At 37.2% G+C, this 25,429-nt stretch overlaps 1 protein-coding gene and 1 non-coding gene across 5 annotated transcripts in view; both read right to left on the reverse strand.

The window, feature by feature from the left end:
- LOC100288966 (POTE ankyrin domain family member D-like) overlaps window positions 1-25,055 on the reverse strand; it is a 35,531-nt gene extending 10,476 nt beyond the window's left edge. The window contains exons 1-9 of one of the 4 annotated variants that reach the window (NM_001257362.3): window positions 24,483-25,055; window positions 19,992-20,106; window positions 19,659-19,832; window positions 16,780-16,886; window positions 14,944-15,081; window positions 12,364-12,434; window positions 6,789-6,859; window positions 5,345-5,389; window positions 4,138-4,304 (exon numbers count right to left, since the gene is read on the reverse strand). In NM_001257362.3, the coding sequence (NP_001244291.1) occupies window positions 4,138-4,304; window positions 5,345-5,389; window positions 6,789-6,859; window positions 12,364-12,434; window positions 14,944-15,081; window positions 16,780-16,886; window positions 19,659-19,832; window positions 19,992-20,106; window positions 24,483-25,003 (1,409 nt within the window). In that variant the 5' untranslated portion in view covers window positions 25,004-25,055. Of the gene's footprint in view, window positions 1-4,137; window positions 4,305-5,344; window positions 5,390-6,788; window positions 6,860-8,626; window positions 9,969-12,363; window positions 12,435-14,943; window positions 15,082-16,779; window positions 16,887-19,658; window positions 19,833-19,991; window positions 20,107-24,482 lie in introns of those variants that run through there. The other 3 variants (XM_006709930.4, XM_011545656.3, XM_011545655.3) reach the window with 3 other exon arrangements.
- On the reverse strand, window positions 13,556-13,662 carry LOC124905313 (U6 spliceosomal RNA). Its single transcript, XR_007068506.1, has one exon. It is a non-coding gene; the product is annotated as a U6 spliceosomal RNA (small nuclear RNA).
- Window positions 25,056-25,429: the final 374 nt, after the last annotated feature.

Raw genomic sequence — 25,429 nt, forward strand, 5'->3', positions numbered from 1 at the left:
AAGTGAGAATTAATCAAACAATATATCCAGGATAAACTCCCTTCACTCATTTAATAAGTATTTATTAGGTAGCTTCATCCAATATGCTAGGCCTTTTTCTAGGCAGTGAGGATATGGTTGTGAAAAATAAAAACCCTATTCATGAGAGTGAGAAAAACACACAATAACAACAGACAGACAAGGCAAAATATACAGGATGTTACAGGAGAAAAACTAAAGCAGGAAAATGAAATGTTTATGTGTTTGATGGGGAGGGTGGTGGGAAAGTTGGGATGGTCAGAAAAGTCCCTGCTGAGAAAGGGGATTTTTTTTTTCTAATACAAAAACCTTTTATTTGTATATCAAAGTCTCTAAGAAATGATGACATAAGGTTAACAGCGTTGATGTCAAGATACAAATGGGTTTGAAGTTAGAGATGATAAATCACTTTGTTTCACTGAACCTTCCCTTCGTTACGTTAGAGAGCATCCCTGGTAGGCACCCAATTGAACCTTAAGCATGACGCGTCTGGGTAGCACACCGTTCTTCCTCAGAAAGTGGTTGTTCCTTAATGTGTTTCTTTTTACCCTTTTTCCTCTTCTTCTTAGAAAGGGGGTTTTAAATAAAGAACTGAAGGAATGGAAAGAGAAAGCTAGGAGGATATCTGGGGAAAAAGCATTCCAGACACAGGGAACTGCGAATCACAGAGGTGTGCCTGGCATCTTTAAGCACTAGGGGTAGATAAGGGATGGCAAGAATTCAGTGTGGCTGAAGCAGAGCAAGGGAGATAATTAGGAGGAACTTTGACATGTACTCCGAGTGAAATGGGAGATAATCAGAAGGGCTGGGGCAGAGGAATGACACAATTTGACTTATCTTTTAAATACATCCACTGAGTTAAGAATTGATGAAAAGGGAAGTTTTTAAAAACCAGGACTATCAATTCCCAGTCTATGGCACTCATTTAGACTACAGATGAGGGTGGCTCAGATGTATGAGATATGACTGGCTTCTGGACATATTCTTCAGGTAGACCTGACAAGATTTACTGAGAGATTAGATGTGAGGTGTCAGAGAGAGAGAGAGAGAGATGAGTCAAGAATGACACCGAGATTTTTGGCAGAGCAACTGGAAGAGTTGCCCTTAACCAAAGTAGGAAAGACTGCATGAGGTGTAGATTTCAGGAAGGACATCAGTAGCCCAATTTTGGATCTGACAAGTGTGTGATACCCAATAACTAACCAAATAGAGATGTCACAAGTAGGCAGGCTGATATAGAAATCTGGAATTAAGGAGAGAGATCTGAGCTGGAGACATACATTTGGAAATCACTAGCATATACACAGTAGAAAAAGTCATGAGGGGCCAGGTGCAGTGGCTCACACCTGTAATCCCAACACTTTGTGAGGCCAAGGCAGACAGATCACCTGAGGTCAGGAGTTTGAGACCAGGCTGGCCAACATGGGGAAATGCTGTGTCTACTAAAAATACAAAAATCAGCTGAGCATGGTGGCATGCACCTGTAATGCCAGCTACTCAGGAGGCTGAAGCAGGAGAATCGCTTGAACCCAGGAGGCAGAGGCTGTAGTGAGCCGAGATCACACCACTGAACTCCAGCCTGGGTGACAGAGCAAAACTCTGTCTCCAAAAAAGAAAAAGAAAAAGTCACAAGAAAGAAGATTGAGGAGTGAGCCCTGGGAAACAACAATGTCCAAAAGGAGAAAGATGAGGAGGAGCAAGCAAAACAGAACATGATGAATGGACTAGAAAGGTAGGAGGAAAAGCCTGAGGCAGTGAGGTCCTGAAAGCCAAGTGAAGATGCCGTTAGGGAGGAGATGTCCTCCATTGCCTCAAATATTGCTGACAGATTAAATAAAATGAGGTGGAAGAAAAGTGCCTAGATTACAGAAAAAAATTAGTGATAATTTTGAGGAAAAACGTTGGAGGACTGCTGAAATTGAAGACTTACTGGCATGAGATCAAGAGTGAATGAAAAGAAAATTTGAGTTCGTGAGTGTAGACAGTTCTTTTAAGGACATCATACTTAGGAGTCATGGCTGAGAATGTTGTAATTTTCTTCCACAGTCATGGAAAAGTAGTAGACAAATAGTTTCAAATTTTACATAACAGGTGTAGTTTTCAAATTTTATATAACAATTACATATTTTAAAGCTTATAAAAATTATACACATTTGGCATTAAAAATGCCAGACCAAGGTGTTAAATTCTTAAAACTATAGAACTAAAAGTTGCCTTGACCATTTCTAGATTACAGAAGCTGATTATTATTTTGTTCATGCTTATACATAAAGACCAAGAAAAACTAAAAGCTTCAAGGAGAGTATTTCTTGCTTGATAAAAATCAGCCAATTCTAGGACAGTTGATACTCATCAAATATACAAAGTAATTGATCACAGTGAAATACTGAGTTCTACTGACAGGAATAAAGTGGCAGAAATGCAGAAAATAATCTTATTTTACAAATGAAATTTTAAAAATTATATGACATCACTGTGGAAAAATATGGTGAGGTGAATACTGAAATATATCCTTTTCTCAAAGGAAAGATAATGTCACACATGCAGGGCACTTTTACAAATAAGTGTTACTGCATTAGCAGCACCTTCCTTTTAGCACACGGGTCAGCAAATTAGCACCTGTGGGCCAAATCCAGCCCACTGCCTGTTTTTGTAAGTAAAGAATCTTGGAACACAGCCATGCTTATTCACATTACAGTCCATAGAGTCAATTAGCTGGGTGTGATGTTGCACACTTGGGGTCCCAGCCAGTAGAAAGGCTGAGGTGGGAGGATTACTAGAGCCCAGAAAGTCAAGGCTGCAGTGAGCTGTGATCACACAATTGCACTCCAGCCTGGGCAACAGAGACCCTGTCTCAAAAAAAATAAATATATATAGTCCACAAAGCCTGAAATATTTACTAAATGGCTCTTTGCAGAAAAAGCTGGCCAGCTCCTGGTTTAGCAGATGAAAGATACTTTGATATATTTTAATAAAAGTTTTACCCAATATACTCAAATGTTTATATTAAATATAGATCCCCATGTACAATCCCTTGGCAATATTCAGATTGAAGGTCCAATATTTCGGCACTCAGGCACTGACAACAAAAATTTAATAACTAGCAATCTTGTTGCTAACAAGGTACGGTGTCAATGTAGCGTGTAGCTTCCATTTGCAACACAGCAGATATTACAAGAATTCTAACAAAATTATCTTAAGATGTGTTACCAAACTAAATGCTTTAAATATTTTAATTGTGAATAATCAGTATACTCTAGATCTAACCTCATTTGTAAAAAATGGTTGCATACTGTATTATTTTCGGGGTATTTCCTATTGGTAAGGATTTACTTTTGATGATAAATTCCTATTGATAAGGATCTATCTTTTTGATATAATAATGCTGTAAGAAATGTCCTTACACATAAGTATATATGTGACAAATCTATACAAATATCCTTAACATACCTATATATCCTTACTATGTTATATATATGTGTGTGTGAATATGCTACTAAATTAATGTTCAAAATGTATTTACCAACAGTGTATGAAATGTCTTTTTCAATGAGACCATTTCCTTTGCAGCAACACACATGGAGCTGGAGGCCATTATCCTAAGCAAACTAATGCAGGAACAGAAAATCAAATGCCACATATTCTTACTCATTAGTGGGAACTAAACAATGAGAACTCATGGACACAAAGAGGAGAATAACAGACACCAGGGTCTACTTGAGGGTGGAGTGTGGCAGGAGGGAGACAACCAAAAAACTACCTCTCGAGTATTTTGCTTATTATGTGGCTGATGAAATAATCTGTAGTCCAAACCTCCATGATACAGTTTACCTATATAATAAACCTGCACATGAACTTCTGAAGCTAAAATAAAAGTTCATTAAAAAGAAAAGAAAATGCCTTTTCCCTCACATTTGCCAATGCTGGTTATTTTTCAAATAAATTAATGACTGGAAAAAACGGTAACTCATTGTTTACTGATTTTCAGTTTTCTGATTAACAGGCAAGGCTGAATTTTCTAGTAAAAGTATAAAATTTGTTCATCATGAATATTAGCCCAAATTAAGATTAGTTTGACAGCATATAGTTATCTCCTATTAAATGTTGCCATAGGCTTACCTGTGATACTCTTCATTCTCAGTGTCAGGAAATTGCTGATTTTCAGGTTTTCTGCTCCTCCTTTGTGGAATTAATCCATCATCACCATTGCCAGCACTGGCACCATTAGTCAGGTTTTCTGGTAATCCCACAGGATTACTTCCATGCTTCTTTATTTCTTCTTCAACCTTGAGTGGAAGTTTGATATTAAGGATGGTTATCACTTTATTGAATAAAAATAACCTTTTTAATTGATTTTATCAATTGATTCAGTTTGCCATTATTTTAGTCATTAAAAATCTCACACTTAAATTTGATCATATATACAGAACTATTACCGTATAATTTTAAGATGTAATTATCATGTCATTAGTATATCATTGAAATTTTTGTAAAGTTTGCTTGATTGCTGTTTGACTGAATAAAACTGAATTTTCCAAAATTCAAAAAGGGCCCTCCTTCATTTTGTGCCTTTATTCCCAAAAACTCTTCAGAATCTTATATATGAATTTACCCCATTTGACTCGTGGGAACACAAAAATAAAACGACATAGACACAAAATGTGTCTTCTGTCTTTACCACCTAGATTTTACATTAAACACTCAGATGTAGAGGATGAGACACTGGGGGACTTCAGGAATAGAAAGGAAGATGGCCCTTTTCTGCACTAAGATATTCTCCTCCCCCACTGCCTTTGATCGTTCTTTTTTCGTTTGGTTCCTGGATATCAAAAACATGATGGTGCTCACTGAAACATGAAAACCAAAGTTTGCCACAACACAAGGAGCAGAGTGAAACTGCTGAAGTGCAAGCGTGGAATTCCAGAAAATTAGATGCTCCCAAAATTTCACATTCAATAGCTATACAATTTTCCAGCTGGAAGTTACAAAGAATAAGTAATTATCTTCTTTAGCCACATTATCTAGTGATAATCAGACTAAAACCAAGAAAGATAAAATGATTGGTCCAAAGCTCCTAAAGTGGCATTACCTAGCATTTTATGGCACCATTCAGGATTGTTCCATAATAATGAAAGAATCTCTCTAGGGTTTGTATCTCTTGAAAACTCAATGTACAGAATTCTTTCTGAGTTAAATATTAAATTTTTCACTGGTGATTTATGCTACTTACATGATAGGATCATGTATGCCTACACTTACTACACTTTGTTAAACAGCATAACATAAAAATCTAATTCAACAGAAACATTTGAACATAAAGGTATACCTCTCTATCACAGTCCTTATTTATTTCTGGTTCTTGAGACATTTTCTGCAGATGCAAAAATAGAAGGTTAATTTGCTTGTTGTATTTCCGTGTATGTCTCCTCTTTTGGAATGCATGTTAAAATAATTTTATTCTTAAGTAATCAAGTATGGACATGAAAAATTAGAAAATAAAATAAAATTTAACTGTTAAAATAATTAAATAAATAATTAAAATTAAGAATTAATTTTTTAATCTATGTTTAGCAACTGCCACATCATTGGCTTCTGACTAACATGTGAAAAATAATTCACCTCAGACAAAGGGAGAATAAAAACATGAACCAGCAAACTTAACTTTGTTACCATTTGTTTGGACTAAACTTAATTTGTTATGTGTTAAATCTACCAAAAATGAATTAGCAGATGATTTGTAGTGTTCCAAAGGCTTCCTCACTTGAAAAAGTATATCTCATGAAACCCTAACTAGTGAGCCCCTATAGTGCACTGAAGTGCTTTTTTAAAAGATTCCTAATTGGATTGTAGGCACGCTTTAAATTATTAGGAGCTGAAATCAACACCAAACAGAAAGAAATGCAAATTCTTACATTTTAATTGAAATTATATGCTGTAATATGATAGTGTTATGTATCTAGATGATCTGCTTAAGTCCAGTTCTAATATATTCTAAGGTGTACTAATTATAGTGGATAAAATTTTTTTAATAATCTGTACTGATTTTCTGCAACTAAAATAAGGAAAAGGTTATTGTGTTTGTGCACTAACACCAAATGTCCCATTCTGCAAGATATGATTCTTGTAATAGGCAGTTGGGTTGCTTTTATGACCTGGTTCCCTCCCTGAACAGAAATGCTGAAGTCAGTGAGAGATCACAAGGCAGAATATGTCTTTAACCTTGGTATCAGTGACTGACAATATAAAACTGCAGATTTTCAATCACTGGCCGTGATTATTCTTTAACCATGAATCCAGCTCAGGGACCTTCAGTGTTACATTGTTCATAGTTCTTTTGCTTAATAATATAATCCAATAATTGATGTTACTTTATCATGTTAGGGTGTTGTTAAAATAAAAGAACAAACAAAGGTCTGGAATATGTTTTTGCCTCTATTCCAAAAGGAAAGATTAGCTATAAGCTAATCAAAAAGGCAGATAAGAATATTTTAAATAAGAATACTGTAAAATAAGGGTATTTTAAATTTTATAGTGGTTATGTTTTTAAGCTAAATATCAAATGTTAAATTAGAATTTATTGATTCTTCTGTTAATGAGATTGCTGAATTTATTAAAATAAATTTTAAGAATCTTATTAAAAAATTCTTAAAAAAAGAATCTATTGATTCTTAAAACCTAGTCTGAAAGGTAATTTCATTTGGACTATCTAATATTGTTAAAGCAAAGAAAACAACATTAAATCAAAAATTTAAATTTAAAATTTTCCATGCCTCTGGCTGGCTATTTTCACTGACTTTAAGCCTTTGTGACTCTTCCTCTGATGTCAGCTTTAAGTCTTGTTCTGTTGAGAAATCCATATATTCAGTTAAGATGAACCACTTAGAACAGTTAAAAACTATTGCCTTTATAAAAATAGATTGAAGACAACATTTTATTTTATTTCATTAATTGAGTGTTTAGTCTTTCATGAAATAGTTACTTAGGAAATAATTCTCCAAAACTTCAACAAACCACTTGGGGAGACACCTGATGTGTTTCACTCACAAATTCATCCACCCCACATAAATGAACAAAACCACCAGAAACACAACTTTAAAATACAGTAGAAACATATAAGGTAACTCAGTATGTTGTTCACTTCCTAATGGTGAAGCAGGAAATGTAAAGAAAAGAAAATTTAGTTTTAAAGAGAAACAAGTTTTCCTGCACTTAGCTACTCTGACTCTAAGGATAGTATCAGGCAGGGCCCAGGAAAGGTCGTGGTGACCCTGTCTGAGAAGCCAGAGCCCACAGGTATGGGCTCCAGACATCCCAGAGAAAAGTTAAGAAAACAAATTCCTTTACCATCTCCCCTCCCCCTCAGCATTTATTCATAGCTATTTTTACAAATGCATATATTTTGCAAATTCTTGTTTTCCTTCAATGCAGCTGCAAGGTCACAAGCTATGCAGTGGTTGCAAAACTGTCACTATATGATTAACTGCCTTTGTTCTGCTTCTGTAAGTTTGCCTATATAAGCCAAGCCCTGTCTTTGTTCAGGGCTCAGGTTTTTGATGCAAATCCGCTGAGCTGGTGTGCACCTAAATAAAATCCTCTTGTTTGACCCACTGGGTCTCTCCTGCCTCCTGTTTTCTGCAACAATAGTACCTTACAAATGATTTCCAAAATTACTACTGACACCTTTGTTAGTGTATAATGTCTTCTTAACATCTAAAATGTTTCCATCCACTATTATGACAAATTTATATTCATTTTTCTTTTTTTTTTTTTGTTTTTTTGTTTGAGCCAGGGTCTTGCTCTGTCACCAGGCTGGAGTGCGGTGGCACAATCTCAGCTCACTGCAACCTCTGACTCCCTGGTTCAAATGATTCTTCTGTCTCATTCTCCTGAGAAGCTGGGATTACAGGCACACACCATCATGCCCAGCTAATTTTTGTATTTTTAGTAGAGATGGGGTTTCACCATTGGCCAGGATGGTCCTGATCTTTTGACCTTGTGATCCACCTGCTCCAGCCTCCCAAAATGCTGCAATTACAGGTGTGAGCCACCACACCCAGCCTTATTTTCATCTTTTAAAACAATGCTATGGGAAGTCTTCCTTGATTCTGCAGATCTTTCCCCAGATAAACAGGTAACTCCTTTCTTGAGGTAGCCTTAGGACCTCACTGATTTTTCTACTGCACCTTTACCACCTGAACTGTACATTATTCCTCCACAGGTCTGTCCCCTCTACTCCAAGACTGCAGAGGACAGTCTTGCACATCATCTTTGTAAAAACAGTCTTTATTTTACTCAGAAATTTCTTATTGAGTCCTGCTACACACATGCTAGGTGTTAGGGTTTAAAAAGAATGAAAATAAAGCCTGTCAGGGATGGCTTTTCTAGAACACCTGCCCAAGCAGAGACTTAAATATTGAGGCTAGCTAGATTAAAAGTGGTAGAGGGCAAGAAAGGGTGACAGCATGCCACACAGCAGCAAGAGCAGGAGCGAGGCCTGAAAGAGTGAAAGTATTTGCCTGCAATAGAAGGAGGAGTGAGTAGGGCATTAAGAGCCACTCAGTAATGCCAGAGAAAGGGCACACAGGGAAAAGGGCTAAAGATGTAGAGTAGGGCAGAAGTCAGATTATGAAAGCCTTATGTGTACTTTTAAGACGCTTAGAGATTAACGTTCAAGAGTGGTCCCTGGTCCTATCTGTATTTAGATGTAGATCATTTTAATGTCAAAACCAATATTCCTAGTGAGCCATTATTCATTAAGACAAGGTGACAGCTAGCTCATGTGGACACAGCTGAGATGATACTATGTAGCAAATTCTCAATAATTCTCATGAACACTTGGAAAGTCAATTCTATAATAAGTCATAGAAATTATAATAAATCACTTAATATTTGTTTGGGAAGGTGCTTTATAAAGTTATAGTGTATATGAATATAACTAATAGTTGTGAATTCAGAGCTGTGACAATAAAGCAAAAAAACACACTGTGTTTGAGTCAGCAATATTTAGATTTCTATCTAGTCTTCCTACCGAGTCCATAAATTCTAAGTATAATCCTAGTACTCGCTCTCAAGTTTAAGTTAAATGCTAGCCTATACAAAAAACACTCTTTCTCTTACTCTTTTTTGTTATTTTTATGTTACTTTGTTTAAAGGAAGAACACAAAAATGCCCTGCTAAAGGGATTCTGTTTGGCTGCAGGCTGCAAGAGGGGAAAAACACAAAGCACATTTTGCAGAAAATGATTTTTTAGAAGTCAGAACTATGACATGAAGTCAAGCAGGGCACTCTAGGACTGACTTTGCTGTGGTTCCTTAATATGCTCCTTGCTCTCTTTCTTTTCTGGAAGCTGTGACTCACACAGGTCATGGAGAAAATTTCCTACTCCTTCCTCATGTCCAGGTTAAATACTAGTGTACAACGTGGAAACCTGTAAATTATCTGACATTTCTCTCTGTCCCCCAAACCTTTCTCATTCAATTATCACTAAATCATATTGACTATACCTCTCTTCTTCCTCTGCTTTATATTACCACTGCCACTGAGAACATAAACATTTACAAAACGGCTTTTATTACAAACAACCCTTCCAACTATTAATGTTATTTCTTACATGAAAAAAATTAAGCAAAACAAATGAAAAAAGCATAACACCAAAAAAAGGCCAACACATTAAAATGAGTAACTGAGATTCCAAACTTTATTTTGCCATGGGCAGGTGAAAACCTTAGAATACATTGATACTAGTCCAAGGATGTGTGACATGGAAACTATAGCTGACTACTGCAAAAGCTTCCTTTTTCTCCTGGTTTCTTTACATGGTTATCTTCCATCAATCCCAGCAAACTATAGGCCACAGGCCAAATCCAATCTGCCTTTTGGCTTTGTAAATAAAGTTTTATAGGAGCTCAGTCATGCCTGTTTGCTTACATATAATCATGGTGGCTTTCACACTACAACAACAGACAACAGCCTGGTTAAGTAGATATGACAGAGACCACATAATCTAAAATATTTCCCACCTGGTCCTTTACAGAAAAAGCTTGCTAACCCATTTTACACCATAAGCAGAATATGCCTTAATACTCAAATTTAATCTTGTAACTCCCCTGCTCAAATTTCTCCAATGAGCCCCTGCAGCACACATTGTTGGCTCCCTATCAATAGCCATTCCTTATTCTTTCTTGCAGAAGAAACACAAGTCTATTGGGATATTTATTATCCCAATCCCCCTCCTCAGCCTCAGAAAGAGAGATGTTTATTCTAAGCTAATCATGTATTTGCCTTCCCAGTGCCTGGTTTGGGAATGAGCATGTGGTGTGACCCAGCCAGTGAAATGTTACAGGAAGCCCCTTGCATGCTTCTAAGTTTTCTCCCTGTTTAAAAGACACATGTGAAGAAAAGCAGCCCTTGAAATGTTGTGTTGTGAGAACAAGATGTTTGGAGCTGCTGCGGATTAGCCAACCATGAAAGGAGACATGAATAAAACACTGCCAACAGCACAGCTGAAAGAGGGACAAGTGGGATCCTAGGATATCACTGAACAACCAAAACAACTCTGGTTCCTACTGTTTTAGCCACTGCTCATCTAGTATTTACAGTCCAAAGCATTGTACCTGGTAAATTTCCCATGGCCCACAGGGTAAGACCTACTCATTTCTATAGTATTAAAAAAGTCTATCATAAACTTGCCTTAGCTAAGTATTCACCTTATTCCCAACCTCTGGTGTCTCACACTTTTGGTACTAGCAAAAGTGAACTGCTCAGAAACCCTGCAAAGTTCACTCAGCATCTTGTGTTTTGCACTTGCTGCTCTTCCTGCCAAACAGGCAATCTCATTAGATGTTCTTCTGGCAAACACACAATCTTGTTGCGTGTTCCTTCTGCCAAACATTATTCTTCTGCTTCTTTACCTAGAAAAATTCTTCTCACTCTGCGTGCTTACCTTGAATCATACCTACTTTTTTTCAAAACTTTCATTCCTCATCACATATGTCTGGCACATAATTAATATATAATAAATCATAATTATAAGCTTCCAGTGGGCATCTAGCACACAGTAAGCACTGAATAAAGTAGTAAAATAATAAAAATGACAATGATAATAACAAGCTCCTGTCTGTATTTTTAATTGTGTGTGTTCTGTAACATTAGAAAAATGATTAGTATCTAAAAGACATTTAATAGTTATTTGTTAAGTGGACAAGTGAAAACATAGAAAGGTTTTCTTTGTAAATTCTGTTGAAAAAGCACAGAAATGAAAGAGACAGCTCTACTATGAGCACCTTAAAGATCAAAACTACATCTATTCCATCTTTGTCTCCTGCAACTTATAAAACCTAACTTACAGAAGCTTTTTGATAAATAGATGGCTAAATTAAAGGTGTCCTAATACAGTTTGGGTTATACAATGTATTAGGTGTCCACAACCAGGTGGCATACTAGTATTTTTGTTAATGTGAAACATTTTTCTACTTTTATTATAATCTGCTGAGCCTAGAATTGGGCAATTTGTATATTTATTATGACAATCTTTTGGTAAATGGTAGCAGAGCATCTTGTTCTAACAAAATTACTGTTATCAAGACAATTGACCAGCAGGTAGAAGAACACATCTTGTTCCAACAAAGTAAATGTATCTCTTTCCAACTTCAAATGAGGAGGAATGAAGTCAGTAAGAGTGAGACCTTGTTGGGACAAGGATATGTAACATGACTTGTGCTTTGGCGTTCTTTTGTGATCAAAAATTCCTTACTTTTATTTATTTATCTACGGTAGGACCACCTAGAGCAGGGGCCCACAACTCCCAGGTCACAGACTGGTACCACTCCATGGACTATTATGAACCACACCACACAGGAGGAGGTGAGCAGCAGGCAAACCAGGGAAGCTTCACCTGTACTTACAGCCACACCCCATGGCTCATATTACCGCCTGAACTCTGCCTCCAGTCAGATCAGTGATAGCACTAGATACTCATTGGAGCATGAACCCTGTTGTGAACTGCTCATCTGAGGGATCTAGGTTGTGTGCTTCATATGAGAATCTAATGCCTGATGATATGTCACTGTCTCACTTTGCCCCCAGATGAGACCATCTAGTTGCAGAAAAATAAGCTCAGAGTTTCCACGGATTCTACATTATGGTAAGTTGTATAATTATTTCATTATATATTACAATGTAATAATAATATAAAGTAGCACAATAAATGAAACATGGCTGAATAATCCTGAAACCATCCCCACCTTCCCCCAGCCCATGGAAAGACTGTCTTCCAGAAAACTGGTCCCTGCTGCCCAAAACATTGTGGACAACTGACCTAAAGTAATTCATTATCACAAGTCTTACCTGGATTGCTGTTTTCAGAAGAGATTTTTAGCATCTGTTTTTCTTTATAGTCAGAAAGTAATTCACAAATTCTATGTATAAAAATGTAATAAACCAAATTACTATTTTAATACTGATATAAAAAATACTTACCAAATGTAAAATTCTTAGAGTATTTCAAACAATTTCATAATATCAGAATTTAACAGTATTATCCCATACACTTATGAGTACATTCTACAAACTTTTCTTTAAGCTTCTAATTAAAGAAGAAAAAAAATTAGGTGAAATGCTCATAAATCAAGGGCACTGTGACCCAGTAAATCAGCATGCATTAGCATGACATAATAGAAAGTGTCCCAACTCTGCATAAGTCCTAGCTCCATAATGAACAGCTATTAGTTCTTGGACAAATTTCTTCTCTTAGGCTCAATGTCTTCTTCTACAAAGTGAGGACTTTGCTGCCTTATTTCACTAGGTTGTTACAAATATTTAACAAGGTAACATTTTTTAAATGCTCAGAGAAATAGTAAAGCAATGGAATAATCTGTTCCTAAACTTTATGACTAAAATTATCTTGGAATCCCAAATAAAACCCCATGTGTATTTTGTTCACAGGTTCTAATATGCAAATGCTGTAGTTTTCAGAAAATGTTATTAAGTCCTAATTTTGCTTCTTAGTTGTCCTACTCCTTATGGCTTATAATTCAGGGCATCTCAACTGTGTCATAGTTTGTAACTAAATTTTTTCATAAATCTCTCATTAAAGTAGATAATGTGATTGTCCACTATTACGGAGTTGACCAATTTGTTGTGCTAAGGGCAGAAAAACCAATGGATGTTAAGACCTGGCTTGGAGCAATGATCCTTCTCTACAGACTCAAACTCTGAGCCAGCAGATGTTTGTTAGGATAATGCTTTATATTGATGTTCAATTCCAGCTGACATGGGAGACCAAAACTCTACTTTTATTTTTTTTCAGTTTTCATGAAGAAGCTGCAAATTGACATTCTCTAATTTTTGACATACATACTTAATATATTTTGCACCGAACACATTATTCAGCTCTAAATCATCTCACAGACCATCTTCCATGACTATTTTTGCAGCACAAATCACATTTCGATATTTTGGTGGCACCCATTTTGCTTTGATTCACACTGTTTCCTTAGAGCTAGTCAGCAAATAGTGAAATGATCTTCCAGTGACTGCACAAAATATGGAATGCCTCAAAGAGTTGTGCTGCCTCCTTATGCAGAAGCCATGCTAACTTTCTCTGTATTGTTCCAATTTTAGGATATGTGCCGCCAAAGCAGGCACAAAGCCCTACTTTTACACATGATTTGTGACGAGTCATGGACAAGGCTTGGCTCTTGTCCGTGACTCATCACTACTTACTTAACCTACTTGAGATTCTGAGAATTCTCTTCAATGGCTTCCTGTGAGGTACAATTTGATAATATTTTAAAATCTTGAGCTAGAGATGGAAGTAGCTTGGACGATTTTCATTATCATGTAAATCAGATCACTCAAGGGGCCAACCACAGCTGGGAGCCACTGCTTGGGGAAGGCTCATATGGGACTTTCTACTGCCTAAGGTTCTACACAGGATATAAAGGTGCCTCACAGTATAGATCTGGTAGCAAAGAAGAAGAAACAAACACTGATCTCTTTCTGCCACATTATTTGAACCCCTCTGACCCTTTAGAACAAGCCCACCTAATATCTGCTAGAGAAAAGACCAACAACGGCCTCAAAGGATCTCTTACCATGAAGGTCTCAGCTAATTCTTGGCTAAGATGTGGGTTCCACATTAGGTTCTGAATACAGGAGGAAGGGTCAATTTGCTCACTTTGTGTGCGGATAAAGTCAGGATGCCCAGCGGCCAGAGCAGGGTGCTGGTGCTTTGGGAACAATGGCTGAGCATATAAGCATAGGTAAGGGAACTAAAAAAAAATGTTGTAACTTCAAAGTCACTGTATGAATCCCCATGAAGACTTGAGGGATCTGAATCAGTAAGGGCATCTTGGTGTCAAAGGTCAACAATTACCAGGCAGCAGAACCAGTTTGAGTGGCAACAATGCAGCAACAGAAACAATGGAAACAACAGAATGATTGGAATGTCCTTTTTTTTCTCCTCCTTCTGACTTGATAAAAGGGACTGTCTTCCTTGGATTTAGTGAACCCCTTTGGTTCTTGAAAAATTCAAGGAGTATGTAGAAGATAGTCCCCAGAAGACAGTACAAGACTTTCTGCTAAACTGGACATTTCAAGACCCAAATAACTAATCAGAAAAATCAAAGATGTGATACTCTTTTTTATCCCATGCATAGGTGTTATACTTGGATGAAATGAACAATATTGGGATCTCTAAGGATAAAGGTCTTAAAAGTCCTGAGGTAAAGAATCCTGCACCCATTGGTACTTCTAACTTGTCTTGCTTTTTGTCTGATTTCTGGCTGATGCAGGGGACTAACTCACGGCCAATCTAAAACTACCTGAACCAAACTATGACATCTCACCTGATATGTAAGATGCAATTGTTATAATTATTTTAAACCTCAATTTAGCATTAACTAGCCTTTTCATGTAAACACTTACACATGATGATGACTAGAAACAGCATACTCTCTGGCCGTCTGTCCAGATAGATCTTGAGAAGATACATCAACATTTTGCTCAAGTAGAAGATTGACTATACTTGCTGATCCACAACATACAGCAAGTATGAGGGCAGTTCTAGAATTACAGAGATAATTTCTCCTTTAGGAACTGTAATAAAGTTATTTTAAAAGCTAATTTGATATACTTTACCAATTTAACATCTTGCCTGTCCATGCAGAATCAAACATTTACATGCACTAAAAGACAGAAGCATCTTGGGTGCTCAAGAGTTCATCTTTGTAAAATACCACCAAGGTTAAAAGGAAAGGACAAAAAGGAAACCTCTTATCTCAGTGGGGTATTGCATAGCAGAAGCTACTAATTTAAAGTCCTTTGATGGGCAAGAAACAATGCTAGGGCCACTTATCTGAAGTGGACAAAGATTTAAGTGAAGATTTTGTCACAGCTTCCCTAAACTGATATGCTGTAATAGAAAATTAGCTAGGGGGTAAGAAAAATAAGAGCTCTCTGCATGCTGAAAGCAGTAATATTAATAATAATGGTAAGAATAGTAGTCACAGGAGTTTCAGTTAATGCTGCCAATAAGCATGTGCTACGCACTGAATTAAATGCCACATATATCTTTCTTGCTTATGCACAGCCAACTTTGAAGGATATATTCTCCTACTTTTCACATATGACAACATATTGGGTGGTAAATAACGTTCCCAATGTCACACGCGTAGCAAGTAAGAAAGTTAGGAATTAAACCCAGTCTTGTGTGAATCCAAAGCCTAGCTCTTTTCTCTTTTTTTTTTCCATGCCCAGCTAGTTTTTGTTTTGTTTTTGTTTTTTTATTTTTATTTTTTATTATACTTTAAGTTTCAGGGTACATGTGCACATTGTGCAGGTTAGTTACATATGTATACATGTGCCATGCTGGTGCGCTGCACCCACTAACTCGTCATCTAGCATTAGGTATATCTCCCAAAGCTATCCCTCCCCCCTCCCCCCACCCCACCACAGTCCCCAGAGTGTGATATTCCCCTTCTTGTGTCCATGTGATTGCATTGTTCAATTCCCACCTATGAGTGAGAATATGCGGTGTTTGGTTTTTTGTTCTTGCGATAGTTTACTGAGAATGATGATTTCCAATTTCATCTTTTCTCTTTATCACCCACCTACAGCTTGCCTTCATTAAAGGAAAAGTGTATCCACTTAAAACTATCTTCACTCCCTCTCTCCATACCAACTAAAAATAAAAACATCAAAATACACTGGAAATAAAAAAGGAAAAAAGCTGTTGAACCCACGGTATGTGGGAATAGCAATTAATTGTCATGTGGGGATAAGCTAACATTAATATTCTTCAAAGAAAGCAACTTAAAGCAGAGTCATTGAAAAGATAAAAGGATTTTCAACTCCTATTTATGTTTAATACAGCATATTTAGTGGAAAAGCATATAAGATACAGAGGTTAAAACCTACTAGAAAGGGTTAAGAAGTTCAATACTGAGTCATAAAGTAAACTGAAAGTTAAAGTTCAAACTTCATAAAATTAATATGAAATCCCTTTAGCTAACATAAGATCATGTAACCAAAAACATCATACAACAAATAACATCAGTCAATATAATAAGAGAAGATGAATCCTACTAAAACAGTTCTTTATGTTGCCCAGTCCAAATAATTGCTTTTCTACTTAACTGATTTGTGTTGATACTGATCACTATGTCCCAATAAGTATAATTTAATCTTTTTAATTTATTATTTATGACTTGAGTGACTGCTATCAATCTAGAACAACACACAAATTAAAAGAAATAACCATACCTTCCATATCTATCAAGTACATTTAAATTAGCTTTTTTCTTGATTAAAAATTTCACCACTTGCTGTTTTTGTTCATGTACGCCAAGCAAAAGTGGTGTGAGGCCACACTGTAAAACAATATAAAACAAAAACAATATGTAATTCAAAAAATTATGTATTTCTCAACTGAACTGGAAGCTTATGGACTTACACTCACAGAAAGTAAATAAAACTTGGTCGCTTCCTTCTCACTCTTCTGTACTTTCCCACATGCCACTCCTTCCCTTGGAAACATCCCTTCTCTGCCTCACCACATTAAATCTGATCATCTCAAAAACTCACCTTAAACATTTACTGTTTCCAAGACTCTTTGTTTCTAAACGAGCATTTGGCATGGCACTTTTGGATGATTTTTTTTTTCATTTAAACAAAAAGCTTCTTGAGGGCAGGGGCTGTATCTTTTATCTCTATATTATCCAACCCTAAGACAAAATTGTTGTGTATAAAGCAAGAATTTGAATGTAAAATATTTCTTTAGTTTCACATGTTTTACCAAAGTTCAAGCTCCAACGTGCAATAAATATTGCTATTAATACACTGCCCATTTCAAGAATTTTTCCAACATTTATTCATTTAAAATCTATTTGTATTTAATTTTTCCAGATTGTTAACTAGATAGATAATCAGTTCATAGGATTACTGAAACTAAGAGATTTCCTATCTGTATTCTTAATAACTCCATGGTTTTTAGTGTTTAAACCTGCCATCCTGATTAAGCCAAAGCTCTACAAACTTAAGAGACATACTGGATAGCCCATAATACAGCTTCAATTGACAAAAAAGGTTTAGAATTTGCTACAATTCTGAGAAAACTCTGCTCTTAAAAACGACTTACTGACCTAAGCACTTGAATGAGTGAACAAAGGGACACAAAGTCCTGAGAGAGCCATCCTCTACTTATTGGAAGACTACTCACTGCAAATTTCTAAAGACCTTCTGAATGGCAGTGAATAACTGATGGTAGAAAGGAAAAGGTATTATTCTGTAAGCTGATAGATAGTGCCAATAATATTCATTTTAATGTCTCAACGACAGAGATAAGTCAGACTAGGCCAGGAATGGTGGCTCACACCTGTAATCTTAGCATTTTGGGAGCCTGAGGTGGGTGATTCACTTGAGCCCAGGAGTTCAAGATCAGCCTGAGAAACACGGCAAAAACCTCATCTCTACTTAAAAAAAAAATACAAAAACAGATTGGAGGACCACCAGAGCTTAGGGACGTCAAGGCTGTGGTGATCTGTGACCGCACCACTGCACTCCAGCCTGGGGAACAGAGTGAGACCCCATCTCAAAAACAAACAAACAAAAATTTAGATTAATGTTATTGGAAAGGAAAGATTTAAAGGAATTAGCACATATCCAACTCCAACTCTTCTAGAAATATCTGAAGTTTCTGAGATATAAGAATTTACATATTACACTTATGTATTCAGTGGTTAAGCAGGAGTGTATCCGGATTTTGAGAAATTTGTTGTTGTTGTTGTTAGAGACAGGGTCTCATTATGTTGACCAGGCTAGACTAGAACTCCTAAGCTCAAGCAATCCTCCCACCTCAGCCTCCCTAGCAGCTGGGACTACAGCCATGCACCACCATGCCTGGCTTCAAGGAAACATTTTTAAACATACATATCCCGGCTTTATTAGACTTACTCTATCAAAATCTTCAGGGGAAAACCTAGACTTGAAGATTATTTAAAAATTTTCCTGAGGTAACTGGAATGCACAACTCTAGCTGGAAGCTAGTGCAATAGACAATTATTTCAGTCTCATCTCTCATCCACATAAACAATTCCCTTTATCATTTGAGGATTTGGTCAAAAAGAGGAAAGAGTAGGAGAGAGATTCATTTGCTGAAAACACCACAAAATTTTCCCCGGTAAGAGTAGAACAAGGTCTAGTAAACTCAAAATCCAACCTGATCTTTTTACTTATAAGCCCCTTATCTCCCACCTTCCCATCAAGACATTCTAGAATTGAAAGCAGAGTTGAGACTCTAATTGGCCATTTCTACCAGAATAGGATACTAAGTTGGTTAATTACTTGTTATTCCTTCTACTCAAGGGTTCCCAATACATTACCACATATTCACTGCCAATCTGGTTCCTCAGAGGCCTCCTAAAATTTATCTCTAGGCAGTTTACAACCCACTAACTCCCTCTCCCAAACTGAAAACTGTCATTCTCTAAAATGGAAAAGAACCCTGTCTCACCATATAAAGGAAACAAATGAATGAACAACAGTAACAACACACACACACACACACACACACACAACCTCTTCATGGTCTTTTCCCCCATTACCTAATTTCCAAGTTGGCCTTGATATTTCTGATTGCTGCATTTTTCCCTTTCCACTTCTGCCTCATGAGCAATCAGAAATATCTTAAGCCTTGCCACTGAGAGATACATCACCTCATATCTATTAGTGTTTTTTTAGGAATTTGCCAAAGTAGCAGGATTACTATTCACTGAAACATGTTTAAGTTTTCTTGGAGTTTTAATGTAAAACCTATTTCCAGGGCAAATTTTGTCATTTTACATTCATTAGGGAAAAAAAACTTGGCAGGGAAAAATTGAAAAAAAAAAAAGTATTACCTTTTACAAATTCAGTGTTTTTTTAAAAAAAGCACTAACCACAAGTGCACTGAAAAATCTGTACCCTCTAATGCTTCTTTAAAAGTAACAATATTTAAAATAAAGTCTTAGATAATTAAGTCATTTCAAAATATTTTCATTCAGGTTATGCTTGAGCTTCCAAATACGGAAAACTGGCCCTTACACAGGTCAATGTTAACACGAATGCATTTCAGTATTTTGAAGATAAAATTGGTAGATCTATACCTTGTTTTTTGATTCAATATCAGCACCATATAAGAGCAGTGCTTTGGCCATTAATTTATCTTCATTGTAGATAGCATAGTGTAGAGCGGTATTTCCATACTCATCTGGAATATTTCGATCAGCGCCATGTTCCAGCAACATTAACACACATTCATCTTCCTGGCATTGTATGGCCTGTCAGTATTAGACCAAAAACAAATTACAAGTCCTAGGAATTCAAAATAACATTCCACAGCTTTCACCAACTAGTTATATTTAAATGAGAAAACTCATTTTTATGCTATCTATTGAAATCAAACCCATCTCACGCTGATATAGTTGACTACTGCATACCTTTATCAGAGCTGTCCTTTTTTTGTTGTCAAGGACATTAAGTTGACATCGTCTGTCCAGCAGGAGTTGTACTACTTCTGAATTTCCATTGGCAGAGGCCAAATGTAGAGCAGTCCTATGAGAGTGAGAAGACTTGAGGAAATTGTAGTTCACTAGCTAATGCCACATTAATGATTCATGTAGTTGCAAACACTGAATAGCCTATTACTCTGCCTTCAAAACAAACTCAATTTTCCTTTGAAGAAAGCACACTACTTATTACCTCTCATTACTCACTGTATTAATGAAAGAGCAGCCTATTTGAATAGAAAGAGCATAGCTCTTGGATGACATTCAACTTGGGCTGGAATCCTACTTGAAGCTCTGTCACTTCCTAGCTGTTGCTTAGCCTTTTTGTGTCTCAATTTCCTCATCAATAAAATGGGAATGAAAATAGTCAGTTTCTCAGAGGAAACCACTGTAATGCTTAAATAAGACTCTACACAAAATATAGAATAGTTCCTAACACAAATAACAGCTCAAAAATTGTAAGATATTATAATTTTTACTAATACCACTAAAGACAACATTTGAATTAAGTGAAACGATACAATTATACCTACACTTTCAGGTACATTTTAAAGATTACAGGTAGCGTTGTACTGTATTTTATTGAGTCTAAGATGATCATTGTCTCCATGTTTTAACATTTCTTACACTGAAATACCACTTATAATTCATGATTTACTATAATTATAATTGGCAGCATTTAAATAATTTTCTTAGTGAGACATAAAATAATGGGGCATCATACAATCCCTGGTGCCTTATATTAAGTAGAATATGTTATAATATAACAGGTCTGGGGCAGTTCCAGTCAGATGACTAGCATTTAGATAAATTTTAGTTTTTAAAAGAACTATGGAATAAGAGGGCTGAGGTGAAAACAAAAACAATTTTCTAAAATAATCTATTTCTTACTTTGGTTTTCAAAAACTTTAAGCCAAAGAAAACTTGAAATTCAAATGAATAGCATGGGCTCATTTTTTTCAATACTTAGATTTATACAATGTATGTACATCAGATATTTCCAATCATTCATATTAGGATTTAAGACTGTTATAAATTTTCTCTTTTTCAAATGGATTTATGAAACTATTTGTGGAGCTTTTTTCAACTTTTATATTCGGGGATACAGGTGCAGGATGTGCAGGTTGGTTAACATAGGTAAACGTGTGCCAAGGGGGTTGGTTGTACAGATTATTTCATTACTCAGGTGTTAAGCCTAGTACCCGTTAGTTCTATTTCCTGCTTCTTTCCTTCCTCCCACCCTCCACCCTCTGATAGGCCCCAGTGTGTGTTGCTTCCCTCTAGGTGTCTGTGTGTTCTCCTCATTTAGCTCCCACCTATAAGAGAGACCATGCAGTATTTGGTTTTCTCTTCCTATGTTAGTTTGTTAAGGATAATGGCCTTCAACACCATCCATGTCCCTGCAAAGGACAGGCTCTTGTTCTTTCTTTTATGGCTACATAGTATTCCATGCTGTTTATGTACCACATTTAAGTTCTTAAAACAGCTAAAACAGTCTTTACCCAAGCCTTATAAATTTTCAAAAGGGCAGTTAAGGGTTATCTTTTACTATTTGTCACCTTCAGAAATGCTTTTGTTTGAAAGGAGGGAGGAAAAGCTTCAATTGAGATTAAGTCCTAATGCCCCAATTTTGATTCTCTCAGCTTGCTCAGGCGCAGCAGGTAAACATGAAGTTTTCAAAGGTGGAAGGAACCTGAGAGATAGCAGAATATGCCTGCCATATAATAGGTGTCTGGCTTATGTTTGATGACTAAACGGATTGAAAGAATGGATAAACATAGGTTGGAAGTTCAATATTTTTAAAAGAAAACTCCTGTTGAGTAGAGCAATACATTTGCGATAGTAACGATCATTTATATTTGCTATTTTAGTTTTCATAAATATATAACTAAACTAAAATAATTAATCCATACTATTTACACATTAATCTATATATAATAAAATGTATATACAATAAAATCTACCAGAAGAGGTAAACAGAAGCCCTCTACTTCTGAAGAGGGTAAAAGTTCACAGAAGATAGCCATCCACAGGTATAAAAATAAATAATAGAATGTCAGAAATTATTTGTATCTATGCAAGTAGCATATTCCTTCTCTTCCCAAGGATTATTTCATTACTAATGAAACTTAACTAAAACTTTTCAGATGTTCATTGCAGAAATCACAGATAAGAGAAAGGGAAAAACTTCACTTACAAATCCCCAGAAATAAGTTTGATTATATTTTCCACATATTTCCAGCTAACACAAGAGCAGATTCTGTTTGTGTATATGTATAACAAACTGATTTTTTCTCACTTGATATAGCAAAGTACATCTTTGCATGCCGACATATCTCTGTATCTACTGACACCCTCAATGGTTACATATTATTCCATCCTATGGATGCACTGAAATTTGTTCATAAAATCTTTATATGAGTTCTTCTCAATACATGGCTATTTTAAGCAATACTAAGAAAAACAGCTGTGTCTGTTTCATATAGATATTTCAGTATAATGGAATAGATGGGTAAAAGGCATACACATTTTAAAAATGTGGTTCTTACCATCAAAGTTTCTATTTGAAAAGTCGCAGCAACTTAAACTTTCAGCAAGTATATAAGTACCACTGTTCTTCACCCTCACAAACTTTGTGGACAGAAAACAGTATTTCATTCCTTTATATTTATTTATTTATTTTTATTTATTTATTTTTTTGAGATGGAGTCTCACTCCATCACCCAGGCTGGAGTGTAGTGGTGCAATCTCAGCTCACTGCAACCTCCGTCTCCCTGGTTCAAGCAATTCTCCTGCCTCAGCCTCCTGAGTAGCTAGGATTACAGGTGCATGCCACCATGCCCAGCTAATTCTTTGTATTTTTAGTAGAAACGGGTTTCACCATGCTGGCCAGGCTAGTATCAAACTCCTGACCTCGTGATCCACTTGCCTTGGCCTCCCAAAGTGCTGGGATTACAGGCATGAGCCACCATGGCTGGCCTTTCATTCCTCTTCTAACTTAAACAGAAAATAGTCTTTCATTCCTCTTCTAACTTAAATTCCTTCTCTTAGCAGGAATGCTATGTTTTCCTATGTGCACAGGTCACTGGTAGACATGCAAAAAAGTACCTTGCCCAATTTTAAATTGAGCTTATTTTATTATATCTGCATATATATGCCGGTTTCAGTGGCTCATGACTGTAATCTCAGCACTTTGGGAGGCTGAGGTGGGTGGATCACAAGGACAGGAGTTCAAGACCAGCCTGGCAAAGATGGTGAAATCCCGTCTTGATTAAGAACACAAAAAATTAGCCAGGCATGGTGGTGGGTGCCTGTAATCCCAGCTACTTGGTAGGCTGAGGCAGAGAATTACTTGAACCAGGAACCAGAGGTTGTAGTGAGCTGATATTGCACCACTGCACTCCAGCCTGGGCTATGGAGTGAGAGTCTGTCTCAGAAAAATAAATAAATATTTTCACATATAAATAGGCATTTGTGTTTTCTTCTGGTACTTTTCTCCGTTTGTATCTTTAAAATTTTTAATCTATACTCCAGGAACTTATTTTTGTGACATAAAAATCTAGGTAGTTTTCTCCAAGCAGCATGCATTTAATTTATGAATAATTCACCTTGTTTTACCAATATGAAACATCACCATTATCAAGTGCTAAATTCTTACATATATTTGGGTATTTCTGGATTTCCTATTCTGTTCTGTTCATTTATGTCTTTTCAGCTGTTAGTAAACAATTTGTGGAAATAACACATGCACATTTTGATATCTGGAAAAGCAAGTCTTCTTCCATTCTGTTACAAAAAACCAATTTATCACAATGATAAAATACATCATGTGCAATTTAAAGACACTAAGACTTTGCTATTTTTATTTGGCTTACGTAAAAGTGATAAACACAGAAAAAGCTCACATCTTAAGAAAAACGAACCTTCCTATTCAAAGATATAAACCATACTTCCCATTTCAGTTTCCTTTTAAGGTTACTCAGTAAAGAACGTATTTACATAGGGGTACATCGATATAAAATCCATATTGGATTTTATTTGAAAGATATTTAGCCCAGAAGTTGATATATTATGGGACTTAGTTCTCAATATACACCTTTCTATAGTGTACAGAACATTGTTTTAAAATGTGTACATTAAAAATAATCTGCTGCATCGACTTAATTTTGCGAGTTAAATCACTTTAAAACAGTCTATTAGTGTTCTATAAGGGAAATTGTAATTGGATTGGAAATCAGCTAAAATTTTTTGTGTCGCTGTTTATAAAGGGACCTGGGCCCTGACCTCTCTGAGGTTTCCACACCCAGGGTGGTGTGGTGCCTGCGGAGGAAGAGAAAGCCTGGCTCCTCCCTCCCTGCGCCAGGAGGGTATGTCCCCATCATCCCCCCATGTCCCGCCTCCTCCCATCCCAGGCCCGGTTACCTCTTTTCCTTGTCCCTCTTGTTCATGTCAGTGTCCCTGAGCATGACGATGAGATCCTTTCTGGGGACTTTACCCCACCAGGCAGCTCTGTGGAGCTTGTCCAGATCTTCTCGACGGACGTGGTACCTCGGCTCCATGAAGGCGCTGTGGTCGTAGTCTCCCCAAGCGCCCACGTTGCTCTTGCTGCTCCCCCTGCAGCAGGGGAAGCAGTGACAGCACCACTTGCCCATCTTGCTCCTGAGCATCTTCATAAAGGAGTTTTCATGGTCTCCAGAAGTGCCCACGTTGCTCGTGCCGCTCCCCCTGCAGCAGGGGAAGCAGTGGCGGCAACACTTGCCCATCTTGCTCCTGAGCATCTTCATAAAGGAGTCGTCGTGGTCTCCAGAAGTGCCCATGTTGCTCTTGCCGCTCCCCCTGCAGCAGGGGAAGCGGTGGTGGCACCACTTGCCCATCTTGCTCCTGAGATCAAATGGCTTCTTCACAGTAGAGGCAGTGGGCATTGAACAAACCTCAGCCACCATCTGCTTTTAACAGCCAGGGGAGGCCGGTAGTAGCGAACAGATCGCGTCTACCAACCAGTTTCACCAACTAGCAGGAAACCTTGGGTTTCCAATCTGTTTGAAGAGAAAGGTCAATCCCAGCCAAAACTTGCCAACCCCAGCAAGGGAGCCCAGCCCACCCCACCCAGGGAAAACCCACACCCACCCGGGGAAAGCCCACGCCCACCAGGGGGACCCCAGGCCCACCCCAGGAAAGGCCAAGCCCCCCCCTCCGAAGGAAACACCCAGCCCAGTCAAGGGAATGCCAAACCCAGCAGAGAAAAAGTCAGGCCCAGCAAAGGAATGCGAGGGAGAAAACGCCAATCCAAGCAAGAAACACCAGGCAAAGCGACTAACGCCAAGCCAAGCTAGGAACGCAAGGCCAAGCGAGGAACGCAAAGCGAAGCG

This window comes from Homo sapiens, unplaced genomic scaffold (genome assembly GCF_000001405.40).
Source record: "Homo sapiens unplaced genomic scaffold, GRCh38.p14 Primary Assembly HSCHRUN_RANDOM_CTG2".
Lineage (NCBI taxonomy): Eukaryota > Metazoa > Chordata > Mammalia > Primates > Hominidae > Homo > Homo sapiens.